The sequence below is a fragment of the Homo sapiens genome, chromosome 4 (assembly GCF_000001405.40).
Source record: "Homo sapiens chromosome 4, GRCh38.p14 Primary Assembly".
NCBI classification, from domain to species: domain Eukaryota; kingdom Metazoa; phylum Chordata; class Mammalia; order Primates; family Hominidae; genus Homo; species Homo sapiens.
In genome coordinates this window covers 187,222,735-187,237,889 of record NC_000004.12, presented here as the reverse complement: position 1 = coordinate 187,237,889, position 15,155 = coordinate 187,222,735, and the positions used below count along the sequence as shown (strand labels likewise).

General features: G+C 36.9%; 1 long non-coding RNA gene across 1 annotated transcript in view; it reads left to right on the top strand.

Annotated features, from left to right (window-relative positions):
- The window catches only part of LOC107986335 (uncharacterized), a 36,580-nt gene extending 22,671 nt beyond the window's left edge, over positions 1 to 13,909 (top strand). Inside the window, exon 2 of the long non-coding RNA XR_007058508.1 lies at positions 10,100 to 13,909. This is a non-coding gene — a long non-coding RNA (uncharacterized LOC107986335). The remainder of the gene's footprint in view (positions 1 to 10,099) is intronic.
- Positions 13,910 to 15,155: the final 1,246 nt, after the last annotated feature.

The following is a 15,155-nucleotide window of genomic DNA, read 5'->3' as shown; positions in this document are numbered from 1 at the left end:
TTGATGACCAAGATCCCCAGGCTCCAGGAACATCAGTGAGACTTCTACCTGAAGTTGCCCTTTGTGATAATGCACACTCTGGAGTTCTCTGTTATTCAATTTCCCCCCTTGGTAGTTTCAGTAAAATATCATGGTGAAAACCCATCTCTACCAAAAATACAAAAAAAAAAAAAAAAAAATTAGCCGGGCGTGGTGGCGGGCGCCTGTAGTCCCTACTCGGGAGGCTGAGGCAGGAGAATCGGCTTGAATCCGGGAGGCAGAGGTTGCAGTGAGCCGAGATGGCACCACTACACTCCAGCCTGGGTGACAGAGCAAGACCCCGTCTCAAAAAAAAAAAAAAAAATCACCTGCCATTCTTCTGATATCCCCAAGGTTGCGACATTACGGATGCTATCTTAGGAGGCTCCATATTCTGAACCTCCCCTGTGGATTACCTCTCCTCTCTGGGAAACGCTGTGGGCCCTGGTGTGGCTCTGCATGTCACTCGCTGCTGACACTCACCCCAGTCGAAGGAGTTGGTGCTGACAGAGAAAGTGATTTGATTCAGGGTGGAACACAGTCACAGTAGTGATGCGTGGTGTGGATGACTACATATAACGCTTACTGAGCACCTATTGCATGCCAGTGTGCTGAGCTCTGTTCTCCCTCACAGTAACTGAATGGGAATGTATTATTACTCTTCGGTAAATTTCAGAAGCCAGGAAAGAAAGCACAGAGAACCTAAGTTATTTGCCCAACATTCCACACAGCAAGCTGGGAGTGGATATTTTAACCTAGGCAGCGTGGTTCAAGAGCCTGCTCTGCTAGCGATCTTACAAATTGCCCATGGCGTTGTGTGGGGAACATACTGAGATGGCAAAGCTGTGGGCAACCAGGCAAATGAGGATGGATGGGACATTTGGAGTGAACAGAGTTCCGGGCATCCCAGACCCTACAGTTGTTTGAAAAGAATAAAAATTAGCGTGAAGGGGTCATCAAGGATGAACACTTTCAAAATTATAAATTCATTTTACTCAGTCTTGGTACAGAAAAATACAGATGGCTGCATAGTTTATGCTGGTCTATGTACATAACCAGCAAAATAACTAAAGCCCTTGGCCTTTGGGAAGATTGCCATTGTGATTCCAGATGCTTAGATGTGCTATGTGGACTAAGCCAGGCAGAGGCCCTTAGGTGAATTAGTACCATTCTGTGAATCATGTCTCAAACATGTAGACTATGTCCTGTATTTTTACTTATTAAGCCATCATGAAAGATAAAGCTGCAGAGAATTCCCAAAGCACCCATAAACAATGGAAAAAGGCCCAACTGTTGTTTTGTTCACATTTCAGTTTTCCCACATACCCCTCTTCTTCTCAAACTGCAAAATTGCTATTCATCTCCATGTTGACTTCAACAGAATGGGGCAATCTGCAGAGATCATTGTCTTCTAGGAGCAAATAGTAATGAAGCTTGCTATTTAAATCTTTTTTTCCATGGATACACTTGAGTATTTAAATTGCACATTTAAAAGTAATGAGCACTTCGTGCTGTTTCCGTCTGCCTCTAACTGCTCTCTCTCATTATCTAAGAGAAAGCATTGAATTCCGAGCTCCTCAAATGAAATGGAAGAGAATTTTTACCGGTTTTTGTTTTTTATTCTCATAATTCCTCAGTTCTCCCAAGCCTTGCCCAACTCTTTTTTGTGGCTTCCATGCTTTTTTAAAATGACAAACAGCTCCTCAAGCTGCCTCAGCAATAATGCCTTCTGCCTGCTTTTAAAAGAGCTGTCACAATTAGTATACTCACTACATATGGGTTTCCCCTACATACTTCCTCCAAATCAATGATATTAACTTTTTGTGCTGTGAAATTCTTTACAAAACAGTCAAGCTACGATTAGTGTATTTCGCTTGTTGCTTAATGTGTGACTTGCTATTCTGCCAAGTCAATGATTTCCAGTCGGAGGTGTCATCATAAAAAAAAAAAAAGATGATTTAAAAATAAGCTTGCTGATGCTCAGTGACCCAGGCTTTGCAGGGCAGGCTGCACCTAACCATGAGTTCTCCTTTTTAACAAGGATGCACCCTTGGAAATCTCAATTTAGATACAATGCCTGTTTCTCAATTAGATGGTCCTTTTTCCTGCCTCCTTGGGCTGGAGTAATTGAAACACAAGGCTGTCACACGGCCTGTCCAGACTGTGCCCCGAGTCAACAAGTTTGTACTGAACAGTGTCCCTCTGGCTGGCAGTCTGCTTGCCATTCTGCTGTGCTCCCCGGGCCTCCCTAAGCTGGTTTTCCTCACTGCTGCCAGGAGCAACGGGTGGCAGCGCACGTCACAGACTTCCTCTGTGCAGAACGATGATCTCCGCGAGGACACAGATCTGCGCTCCCGAGGAAGTCCAGCCACCCCCTCGCCGCCCACCCCCACCTGTCCTAATGACTCTATATTAAACTATGATTTTTTTCTTAATTAGAAGGTATTTTTAAAAAGCAAATCAAGTGTAAATGCTAGAGTAACTCACTGTTTTTTAAACTAAACTGGTTTATAAAAATTAAAATAAGACATCAGAGAAAATAGGTTTTTTTTTAACAACAAGCAATTAAGGGAGCATGAAACCCTGTTGAAAGCCGTTTTTAAAGAGTTAAACCAAAACTGCATGAGTCTATATTCGACGTCTTAAATATAGATGAGATGGTACTTTTAGATACAGAGAGGAGAAACTCTCCCAGATCTCTTTTTACAACTTGCTCAAAAAGGGATTCATGTTGTAGCTTCGTTAATTTTTTCATCACGTTATTTCATATTGTTGTTTTAAAATATATGCCAACTATATATAACGGATAATATGTAAGAATGATAAAAAGGCTACTACCCATTTAGCCACCATTGTACATTATCAATAGCTTTGGTATTTTATTATGTTGAATTTATCAATACTTATATGAAAATATTAATATTCCTGAACAATATTTAGTTTTGCCTAATTTTAGCTTTTATAATAATAAATCTTACCAAATATAAATGTGTATTTGTGCGCATGTGATTTTCTTTTACTGCTCAGTATTATGTTTTTGAGATGCATACATGTTTAAATATGTGACTTTCATTTGTTTATTCTGGTTTTAGAAAACACCAAATTGTTTCCAAGTTTTGCTTTTGTGAAAATGCAGCTACAAACATTGTTGTATATATCTCTTGGTGCATATAGGCAAGAGTTTCTTTAGCTTATATGCCAAGGAGTGGAATTTCTGTGTTTATAGGTAACGTACGTGTTTACCATTACTAGGTAAAGCCCCAAAGACCGCTGATTAATGGGAGTCACAATCTTCTGAACATTTGTACTATCAGATTTAAATTTGTTTTCCCAGTCTGTTGGTGTCAAATGGCAGCTAACTGTGATTTTTACCTTCATCCTCATGATTTCTAGTGGGATTTAACAACATTTTTTTTCATAGATGTATTAGTAATTCATGATTGCACTTTTGTAAGCTACCTGTTCATATTTTTGCACAATTTTCCGTCGAGCTGTTTGTTTCTATATATATTCAAGTTTATATATTCTGGACCCTGACTTTTATCACTAGTATGTGTTGCTGGTCTTGTGTCATAGTTTGCTTGTTTTCTCACTCTCTTTTTGTGTGTTATGATGAACATGAAGTCCTAATTTTAATGTGATAAAATTTAACCATATTTCCTTTACGGCTAGTGCATTTTGTTCTTATTTGACAATCATGTTGCCACCACCAAGTCATAAATATATTATCATATGTGGTCTTTAACATTTGTTAGTGTTCCTTATTATTTAATTTTTTGATCAGTCTGGAATGGATTTTTAGCTAACTGCTCCAAAACCAATCCACCAATTTACAGTTTCATTTCTGTCATGCATCTATATTTTTACACACATGTGTCTTTGTTTCTAGATTCTTTATTCATTGCATTCAACTATTTGGCTTTTCTTGAATTAATATCCACTATATCACAACTACAGCTTTTTAATAAGCATTGTCTTTCATAGGGGACGTCTTCCTGACCTAATCTCCTTCTTCAGGTGTGACTGGACATTCATGCCCTTTGCTTTTCTATATCTATATTTTAATCTGCTTATTTAGTTTGATGACAACCTATTTTAGAATTCTTCTTGGAAATGTCAATAATCTCTGGATCAATTTTGGGAAAACTGACAAATGTATGATACTGAGTTCTCCCTGCCAATGAAATGGTATAACTTTCTATTTATTTAAGTCTTCTTTGATATTTTTCAGCTAATGTTTTATAATATTCCAAAATAGAAATTGCATACAAAATATACTATTTACAGTGGCAGCAAAAATATGTGATGTCGCTTTTACATTTATTCCTATGCCACATATTTTTGCTGCCATTGTAAATAGTTTATTTTGTATGGAATTTCTAAGCATTATACAGCAAACTTGTTAAACCACATTGTTAATCTCTGTGTTACTCTGTTTTCACGCAGCTGATAAAGACATACCCAAGACTGGGAAGGAAAAGAGGTTTAATTGGACTTACAGTACCACATGGCTGGGGAGGCCTCAGAATCATGGCAGGGGGTGAAAGGCACTCTTTACAGGCAGCAGCAAGAGAAAATGAGTGAAAGAGGAAACCCCGGATAAACCCATCAAATCTCACGAGACTTATTCACTATCACGAGAATAGCATGGGAAAGACCGGCCCCCATGATTCAAATACCTCCCTCTGGGTCCCTCTCACAACATGGGGAAATTCTGGGAGGTACAATTCAAGTTGAAATTTGGGTGGGGACACAGCCAAACCATATCAATCCCAGTGCTGTGTAGATTGTTTTGGGTTTTCTCATTGCTTTAAGGTAAAGAGAGTGTAGAAATGCTTTGGAAAAGGCTGGAGGAAGTGCGCAAGCACTTTAGAGCTGAGATGCACGTGATAAGCTGTTTAACACTGATAAAGAGAAGAATGAGAGCAGTGAAAAAGCCACTGGGGTACCTTCATGTGTGGAAGATGTCTGGGTGAATTCCTTCTAAATTGTCCATTTATCACTCAAGTTTGAGCCAAACTATCCAAGAGCTTTTACCATCAGTTTCTTAATTTCTGCTTTCTTCTGATTCAAAAATTAACATGTTGAATAATTTATTAATAACTTATTTTTTAGCTTTTAAAAGAGTAAATAAAATATCATAGAGCATTAAACTAAAACCAAAATATTATAAATTAGGCAAAACAACAGAGTTTTAAATGAATACGTAGTGTTTTGAAAGCATTCTTACATTTAAATTCAATTTTTTATGACAAATATTCATTGAGAACCTTGTATATGCAAGATACTGACCCAGTAGGAAAAGTGTTCGTTTGGTCACTAGTGTTCTTGCAAAGTAAAGAACACAGTGAGTTTAACTAATTTAAGCAATCAATCTTAGACACAGAAACAGCCCTCACCCCTACCTTTGCTTTGTAATAGGTTTTTCACCCTGATTTATTGTGTATAATTACCTAATCCATCTTGCATATGTAGACAAGCCTTTGTCAACCTGAGGTACTTAAATACCTTTGAAATGAAACTCCAACTAGCTAACCATTATGTCGTAATTTATTACCTTTGGTCATCATGTAACACTTTCTAGGGAAAAGTTATACGAAGAAAATACTTAAGAGAATTTTTTTCATTATTAAAAATTCTTTTTTAAACTTCTATTGAAAGCACTATAATATTTATCCAGACCTGACCCAAATAGTTGTAGAGATACAATTCCTGGCTCTACCCTTACGAAAAGCAAATCTTTACAACTATATGACTAACTCCTGAGCATGTACATCTTCAATAATTTTTATCTTCTCACTTGCCCTCTTCTTTCCTCCATGTGGAGGAAAAAATATCTTTCTGAGGAGGAAACACTTGAAGACTCATTTAAATGTTAGCTACTTTAAAAATTTAAATTTTAGATGTTCTTCCATTTAGTTCTTTATTTACTTCTTTGAGTTACTCAAGCTTTTCATATTTGCCACACCTGCTAGTAACATGGGAATATATTTTTATGTAACAAATGCATACGATACTAATGTATTTTGGGTAAAAGTACAGATCGCCCACTGTCGTCACCTATTCTCATTTCATTCTCAGGAATAAGAACAATGTGCTTTGTTACTTTTGAATGTTTTTCTATGCATTTACATACAGATATACATAAATGAATAAAAAGTTAGGCCATGTACAATGTTTTAGTATAAATGGGGTCATGTGATATAAAAATTTGTGCAAAATTATTTTCTCATAATAATATCATAAAAATATTTCCATGTTAATATATTCAGATCTTTTCATTCAACTGCCACACAGTAGTTCTTTATATGATTTGGGATATCATCTAACTATTTGATTATCAATGAAAATGTATAATATTTATACCAATCTATGTGTATATTTTGACTCTCCTGGAGTGAATACTCACACGTGACACCTTTTACATGAGTGAACAAGTATCATGAAGGTACTTGGAGATTCTATTTTCCCAAAGGAAAATTAAAATCCACCAAGACTTCCTCACCTACACGTTCTTGCATTAGCAGAACTGGGGACTCATGGTCCCCGAACTCACACACCTTCTCCCTCAACCTACAGCACACATCCTGAAGACTCCTTTAAATTCATTTATGTGTTTCTCAATATGTCTCCCATCAAATTTTCATGCCCAAGTATTCCATATTTTCCATATTCAATCACCTCTATCAGATCCTGCAAGATTCTTCTTCAGGTTAGCCACAATTTCTAGTAGCCCTGGGTTGCCTAATATATGATACAATTCAAGATACATGGTAGAAAAAAAATTGCTTAAATTTGACTGAACATAGTTCAGCTGAAACCTGCGATTCAACCCAACAATTTGCTCAAAATTAGTGTGTATAAGAATTGTGTCAAAAATGAATGTCAATAGGAACTGATTATTCAAGTATTCTTTTGTTGTATATTGTGCAACCTCACATTAACCTTTTTAATATTCATAAAGACTCATTTCTAAAATGCAAAATGTGCATATTATACATTATATAAATAATTGTGTCTTATTTATGAGGAGAAATGAGATCATGACACAATTTTGTAATCTGTCGTTATTTATTTAGACTATTTTGATGCATATCGTAGAAAGTTTGCATTTTTCCACCCATTAGAACTTTTTAGATAGTCTAATTTTTTTTTTTTTTTGGAGACAGAGTCTTGCTCTGTCGCCCAGGCTGCAGTGCAGTGGCATGACCTTAGCTCACTGCAACCTCTGCCTCCCAGGATCAAGCAATTCTCCTGCCTCCGCCTCCCGAGTAGCTAGGATTACAGGGGCATGCCACCACACCTAATTTTTGCATTTTTTTTAGTAGAGATGGGGTTTCGCCATGTTGGTCAGGCTAGTCTCGAACTCCTGACCTCAGGTTATCTGCCCACCTTGGCTTCCCAAAGTGCTGAGATTACAGGCCTGAGACACTGTGCCCGACCAGATTGTCTAATTTTTAATGCCAATTATCAGCCAATTATTCCCACATTACCTGTTTATTTCTCTATATTTTACCAGTATTTCTAATTCACTCTTATCTAATTATGCCTACTCTTTCACATTTTCAATAGGGAAACATTAGAATGACCTAAAACTCTAACAAAGGTGGATGAGTTTTTTAAAAAAGCTGTTTATTTTATGTCCTTGTACAAAGTTGGAAACACAGCCAAATAAATAGAATAGGCATGATTCTTTTAAAATTAATATTATTAAAGTACAAAAACCTCATTCTTCAAAATTTTATGTCTCTTAAATTAATAATCCAATTTATGATTTGTTTCTCTTTCTATTTTCCCGTATTAAAAGTCAAATGTATTTTTTAATAAAAAATAAAATTAGAAAAAATGAGAGCATAAAAAAAAATGGGATTTGCCAGGCATGGTGGCTTATGCTTGCAATCCTGACACTTTAGGAGGCCAAAGTGGGAGGCACCTAAAGCTAGGAGTATAAGATCTGCCTGGGAAAAAAAGTGAGACCCCATCTCTACAAAAATAAAAATAAAAATTAGCCAAGCTTAGTGTGTGCACCTGAGGCTGAGCTGGGAGGATCACTTCAGCCCACGAGTTTGAGGCTGCATTGAGCTATGATTGTGCCACTGCACTTCAGCCTTGGTCACAGAGTGAGACCCCATCTCTAGAATAAATAAATAAATAATGAAATTTTACTCATCCAAATCATCCATTAACCTTTTTATTATCCATACAAATCTATTTCTAAAATATGAAGTTAGTTTATTACTTATTATACAAATATATATGTTAGCCAAAATAGGATCATATTTTGTAACCTACCATAATTTATTTAGGCAATTTCCCAAATGTTTTATTCCAACATCCTCTTATGGTAAGCAGAGTAGTGTGGAAATCATTTTAATTTGAATTATTAATGTAAAAACAAAAAGCAAAATAATGAGGAATTATTGGTTAAACACAACTAAGTCTGAAACCATATTAGATATCAAAATGAAAAAAGTAGAAAAATACCCCAAAATTGGGGAAAAAATAGCTAATCATGTATGAAGTTCTACAAAGTGTCCCCATGGTGCACCAAAGATGACTAGGATTAAAAAAAAAACTAGTGTCTAGGTATTGTCATTGAGAACCCATCATATTTCTGCCAAAGTAATCTGCTGACCATCTTGCTTTTAACTAAATTGCTTTCAACAAGATTATGCTCTGTAAAGTTTCATTTGTCCAAATAGTTTTTCCTACCTTTTTTCCCTTAAAGATCACATTATATGCCACTATTAAGAGCTGAATTAGGAATCTAGAATCCATTTGAATTTGTCTTTAGTTCTTGTCTCTTTCTCCCTCTCTGTCTGGTCATCTTTATTCTTACATTTCATCATGGATCAATCCCTATCCCAGTTCTGTGACATTCTTTCTGTGAATGCAGATACCCTTTCAAAGATGGCCTCCTTCAGACCATAACTTCAGAAATAATCTAGAGTGATCGTTTTTTGGGTTATATAATATCTAACTTCAAGACTCAGTTTATCTCCTAGTTTCAGGATGTTACCTTCAGTTTTCAAACTAAAGTTCGTGTATCATCATTTTACCTCTTCTTGTCAGATGAATACTAAACATTTAAAGTGAACTTTTAAATAAAACTTCTGGCACTATATAACTAATGAACAAACAAACTAAGCTATTCCATTGCTCATGGCAAAATTTTTTAAGAGTACGGTCCACATCTACCAAGAAAACTCTCCTCTTTATGGCTTCCTCCTCTAATTCTCAAAACTATCTGCCCAATGTTATGTTCACACTAGCAATGTAACAGGAAAAACAAGTTATACAAACATTCACAGCTCTCCTCCCCTGAACCCTAGAGATTCTTGTTTGAAAAGTCATCTATAGGCCTCTCAGCTGCAGCCCTAAATCCAAGTAAGCAGGCTGCCTGTGAGGCTATGCTTGTCTAACAGCTGCACCAGGGCACAGGAATGGTGCAGCAAGCTAGGCTAGAGGGCTCGGGTGAGTAGCATGGGCTGGACATTGTGCATGAGTGTGTTTAGTGAGGGTGGAGACAGAGGTAGGAGCAAGTAGAATAAAGGAGCAGAATGACATCAACACACAAAAATATTTTTATTTATTTTGCGTATGTGTGGCTTTCACGAATGTGTAATTACAGAAAGAGGAAACTGTACCTAAACAGATGTATGGTAAATTTCCTGTGTGAGGAGCAGAGTGAAATGCCTAGGCTGGACTTGTTAAAAGCAATGGGAATACCTCAAAGCTTCTGCAGTCATAGTTGTATTCCTTTTCAATGTGACTTGCAAAGGCTGAGTCATGTGGAGACACAGCTTAGGTATATATAATCTCCCAGTCAAGAACTGAATAATTCGTGCTGACCACTTTCTCACAGGTAAAATTAGAATAAAAACCATCTTCCACCTGATGAGCGAATCCCAGGGAATGCTCCAATACCAAAGGGCAAGCCTGGCTTCCATGCCAAAATTACTGCTTCATCTACCTAACAGAAATTGGCACAGCAATCATCAGCAACCCAACTACATTCCATCTCAAATTTCTCTCAGCTTTACAATTAACTCATCTTTTATTTTGCATTAATCTCTTTCAGCCTAACCACATCACACCCAGCATCTCACTTGAGACAAATCTGTCGTCTGAGCATATTGAAGCCTTGCTGTGACTCGACTGGTTGAAGGACTTGCGAAATTGCACGGTTCTGAAGAGACAACCCGAGGAACGAGGATCCAGCAAGAAATCCCCCCAAACTTGATGGAATTCTTTCTCCACCACTGCTGCAAGAGGACCAGATCTCCCTCTGCCAACAGATGGGGCGGGGTAACACTGGAAATATGTTACAGGCCAGGTTCAGATGCCACAAGAGTAGCCTCAAGATTTTGCACATAACTTCGGAAGAAACCCCAGCATAATAGAAAGGTCTTCTCAAGAATTTTTCTGGATTTACTGTGCAACTTCCCTGGTCCCTTACTTTTCTTGCCACTTTTGTTATTACCCCTCACAAGTGTAGCCTCGTGTTTGCTTTTATTTGATTTGCAATTCTCTGTCTTATAAAGATTGTCCCGGTTCTTAATTTCGTGTTTCCCAAAAATCTACCTATTGCGTCCATTGTGGCATTCCTGGCACCTAGAACAATATTTGCCTCATAGGACATGCATCTATTTGACCTTGCCTTACGTACATCCTGTTCTCTTCTTCACTTTTGTCTCAGGTCCAACAGTTGAAACTATGCATTCCAAGTAGAATCTGGTTGGAATAAAAGGATCTGAACCAGCTTTAATCATCAAAGGAAAAATATGCTGTTTATAATATTGAAATAAAAATAGGGAAGATTTCAATTCTTTGGGATAATTACCCAGAAGTGGAATTGCTGGATCATATGGTAATTGTATTTTTAATTGAGAAACCTCCATACTGTTGTCCACAGCATTATACTATATTGCACTCCCATCGGTGGTGTGCAAAGATTCCAATTTCTCCATATCTGCATTAACACTTGTCTTTTTTTTAAATCACTGTTGTTTTGATTTGTAGTTCTTTGATGACTAGGGGCATTGGGCATTTTTTCATATACCTGATGGTCATTTGTATGTCTTCATTGGAAAAATGTCTTTTCAAGTCCTTAATCCAGTTTTTAATCAGGTCATTCATTTTTTTTTCTTTTTCTATTGCCTTGTAGGAGAGCCTTCTAAATATTGGAGATGACCCTTTATCAGATATATGTGTTTCAAATATTTTTTCCCATTCCATTGGTTGTCTTTTCACTCTGCCAATTGTTTCCTTTGCTATGCATAAGCTTTTTAGTTTGATATAGTACCATTTGTTTATTTTGTTTTTGTTACCAGAATTAAAATCAGGATCCAAAGAGATATTGACATTCTCATGTCTGTTGCAGCGCTATTAATAACCAAGATGTAGAAACAACTAAAGGTCCATCCACAAATGAATAGATAGAGAAAATGTGGTGCACACATACAATGGAATGCTAGTCAGCCTTTACAAAGGAGTAAATTCTGCAATATGTCACAACATGAATGAACTTTGAGGACGTTATGTTAAATGGAATAAGCCAGTCACAGAAAGATGAATACTGCAGGGTTCCAATTACATGAGGTATCTCGAACAGTCAAATTTATAGGATCAAACAGTGGAATGGTGGTTGTCAGGGCAGGGGAAAGGGAAAATAGAGTTACCAATCAGTTAAGCAAGATGAATAAGCTTCAGAGATCAGCTACACAACACTGTCTTTATAATCAACAATAATATGCTATACACTTAAAATTTGTTAACAGGGTAGAACTTATTTATGTTATGTGTTCTTACCACAAGAAAATAAAACTTTTTTTTTCTTTTGAGATGGAGTCTCACTCAGTCGCCCAGGCTGGAGTGCAGTGGTGCAATCTTGGCTCACTGCAACCTCTACCTCCCAGGTTCAAGCGATTCTCACGCCTCAGCCTCCCAAGTAGCTGGTACTACAGGCAGGTACCACCACACCTAGCTAATTTTTTGCATTTTTAGTAGAGGTGGGGTTTCACCGTGTTAGCCAGGATGGTCTCAATCTCCTGACCTTGTGATCCACCAACCTCGGCCTCCCAAAGTGCTGGGATTACAGGCGTAAGCCACTGTGCCCAGCCAAAACTTTTTAGAAAGTATGAAAAATCACACTTTTGTAAAGTGCGGGAAAATCTTTTGTTAAGAAAATATGGCTAAGGGGATAAATGATGTTTGCAATTGTGTACAATGCTCTAGGAGTTGAAGTTTGCGAAGAAACCAATTTTTTCAAATAAGCATTTAATTTATTCATTCAATAATTCTAATTATGTACCTGGCCGTGTTTTAAGTATTAGATGCAGGAATGAAATGACAGATTAAGTATCTTTATTGCATCATGTATTTAAAAGGTGGGAGACAGAAAATAAAGATGTAAACAAATACATATGGCCATTTCTCATGTTAGTAATTGCTATGATGTGATTAAAGCTCAGTAGTTGGATAGAGTGTTTCTAAAGGAGGAGTGGTCAGGAAAGGCTTCTATGAGGACCGAGTGAAGAGAAGCAGAGAGTCAAGTGCAAACCGAGGGGAGATTATTCCAGGTACAGAAATGAGTAAGTGCAAAGGCACAGTGAGCTCAGCAGGTCCTCGGGACAGGAACCGGGAAGAAGTGATGGGGGCAGACAGAGGCACAAAGCAGGCCAAGGTCTGGCAGATGGCACAGGGAATGTTTTTATTCTAACTTCACAAAGAAGTCGTTAGAAGGTAAAAACCTTTCTCCACTCTAAGTGGAGGGTGAAGCTCTAATCTGCTTTTAAAGATCAGGGAAGTTGCTGTTGAAAAGATTTAGTGGGCTCTATTAGTAACACAAAGTCTAGGCTTGATACTCTGAGATTCCGAAACAGATATCCAGTTGTGTAAGAGTTATGATGAATAAGAGAGAAACTTATTTATGTTACATTTTAAAAATTCACACCAAAATAAAAGACAACTTAGAAAACACGGATAGTAGACTTAACAGGAACTCCAATTAATGAATATTTAAATAGCCAATGAATATATTAAAATATGCTGCTAATATAAATATGCTGACTAATGTCATTGGTCAACAAGGGAATGCCCATTAAAAATCACAGTCAATTCCACTTCGTCCCTACCAGAACTGCTAAAAGCAAACTAATCCACAGCAGTAAAAATCCTCTTTAAGTATGTGGAGCAACTAGAACTGTCACAGACTGCTGGTGGGGCTGAAGCCGCTCGAGAAGTCTGCTTGGTACTATCTGCCAAAGGGGTGCTGGGCTGGCTGACCAGCTTGCGAGATGCACCACTGGTTGCTTGAAATTGGCAAAGGTGAAAAGATTTGCACCTCAGAAATTGGCAAGTGCTGTAAATCAGAGTGCTTTTTCTTCTTTTTTCTCAGACTCTGGTTGTTAAACACCATCAGCATCCAGCATCCTCATACTCCTAGCTGGGTCATCTATGATCCAGGCATTTCTATCTTTGGTAAAGTATGGAATATTCATAAAATGGAATATCATACAGCAATGAGAATAAAGTAATAACAGGCAGCATCATGGCTGGGTCTCAGAAACGTAATGCTGGGGCACAATAAGCCAGAAATGAAGGGCTTATAATTGTGTGAAGTTCAAAGTTAGCCTAAACAAACCTGTAGTTTAGGCTAACCACAGAAGTGTGGTATTATAAATCGGAATAGGTGAAATGCTCCCTGGGGAGATGGTAGTGACTGGTAGGAGGGATGAGTTCTGACAGTGCTGTCTTCCTGGATATGTGTGCTGGTTGCATAGGTGTGCTCAATTCGTAAAAATTTACAAAACTGTGCTCTTAGGCTTTGGACAGTTTTTCTATGTATGTATGTTACACTTTAATAAAACAGTAAATATTCGCCAATCAATAGATAGTAAATTTTATTCATTCAGAAGAGAGTAATTTAAAGAAATTCAAGTAACGCATGTCTAGAAAATGGTCACCTGTATATTTTTACAGGTAGAGGAACTAATTTTCTTTAAAATCTCTTGGAGAGATATTTAACAATTTCATATGATTGATGTGGAAAAAATAATTTATATTTCATCCTTAAATATTGGTTATTTTTAAATGTTCTTTAACTTGGGTAATAAAACTTACATTATATTTGATTGTACTTAGATGAGCCTAGAAAAGGAAAACTCCTAGAGCTCTAGTTTTCGCATTTAGTGTGTATAAGAATCAACTGGAGAATTTGTTATAAATTCATACATCTGCAGCTCCACCACGGAAACAAATCCAATAGGTTGGTCATAACCTCGGAATCAACTCTGAAATCATCACCTCACATGACCTAAAGCAAGCGAATGCATGGAGAATAGCTGTGAAAAACTGATCTAGGTGCTAAAAACCTACCCCCGGGGCTAAGACAGATAGATGATGAGATAGATAAATAGATAGATCAATAGATCAATAGATAGATCTGGTGGATAATTTCCAGTGGATAATGGTCCCAGTTAAGACAGTATAGAGTCACTGTACAGATTTAGTTCATACTTAGAATCTTAAATATTTAGATAATAATGAAAAATGATCAATTCTCAGACTTTAAAAATGGTGCGTTTAAATGTCTACACAATTGAAATTATCCCATCATAAAAAGAATTATTAAAATAATATATTGCCATGTAAATTTGGAAAGATATGTTATGATGGAAGCAAAAATAAAACAATTACCAGAATATTAGTAGATACAAATGGAGATGTGTACATTGTTAGGGATATACATTTTGGGTTAAATAACTCATTTTCAGCTGGCAAAATACTCCCTTAAAAATGGTAAATTACAGCTAGAGACACAAGGAGTTTTTGCAACTTTGGTGGGGCGATCTGTTCCCTCAGTTTACTTTTGCTATATGACTGCTTTCTTAAGGCACCATGGAGCTGTAGGCAATTCTGTTTAAATAAAGCCTGGGTTGGTAGGGGAACAAGTGCAATACTAAGAACACACATCATCAAAGGAAAAATAGCCAATGAATATTTATATATATTAAAATTAAAATAATTTCTATAAATGATAGTGAGGACACACATAAATGACAAGATATATAACAATATAACTGATAAAAGCTTGATCTCACACACGTGCATACAAGTATACAAAGTTACAGGCC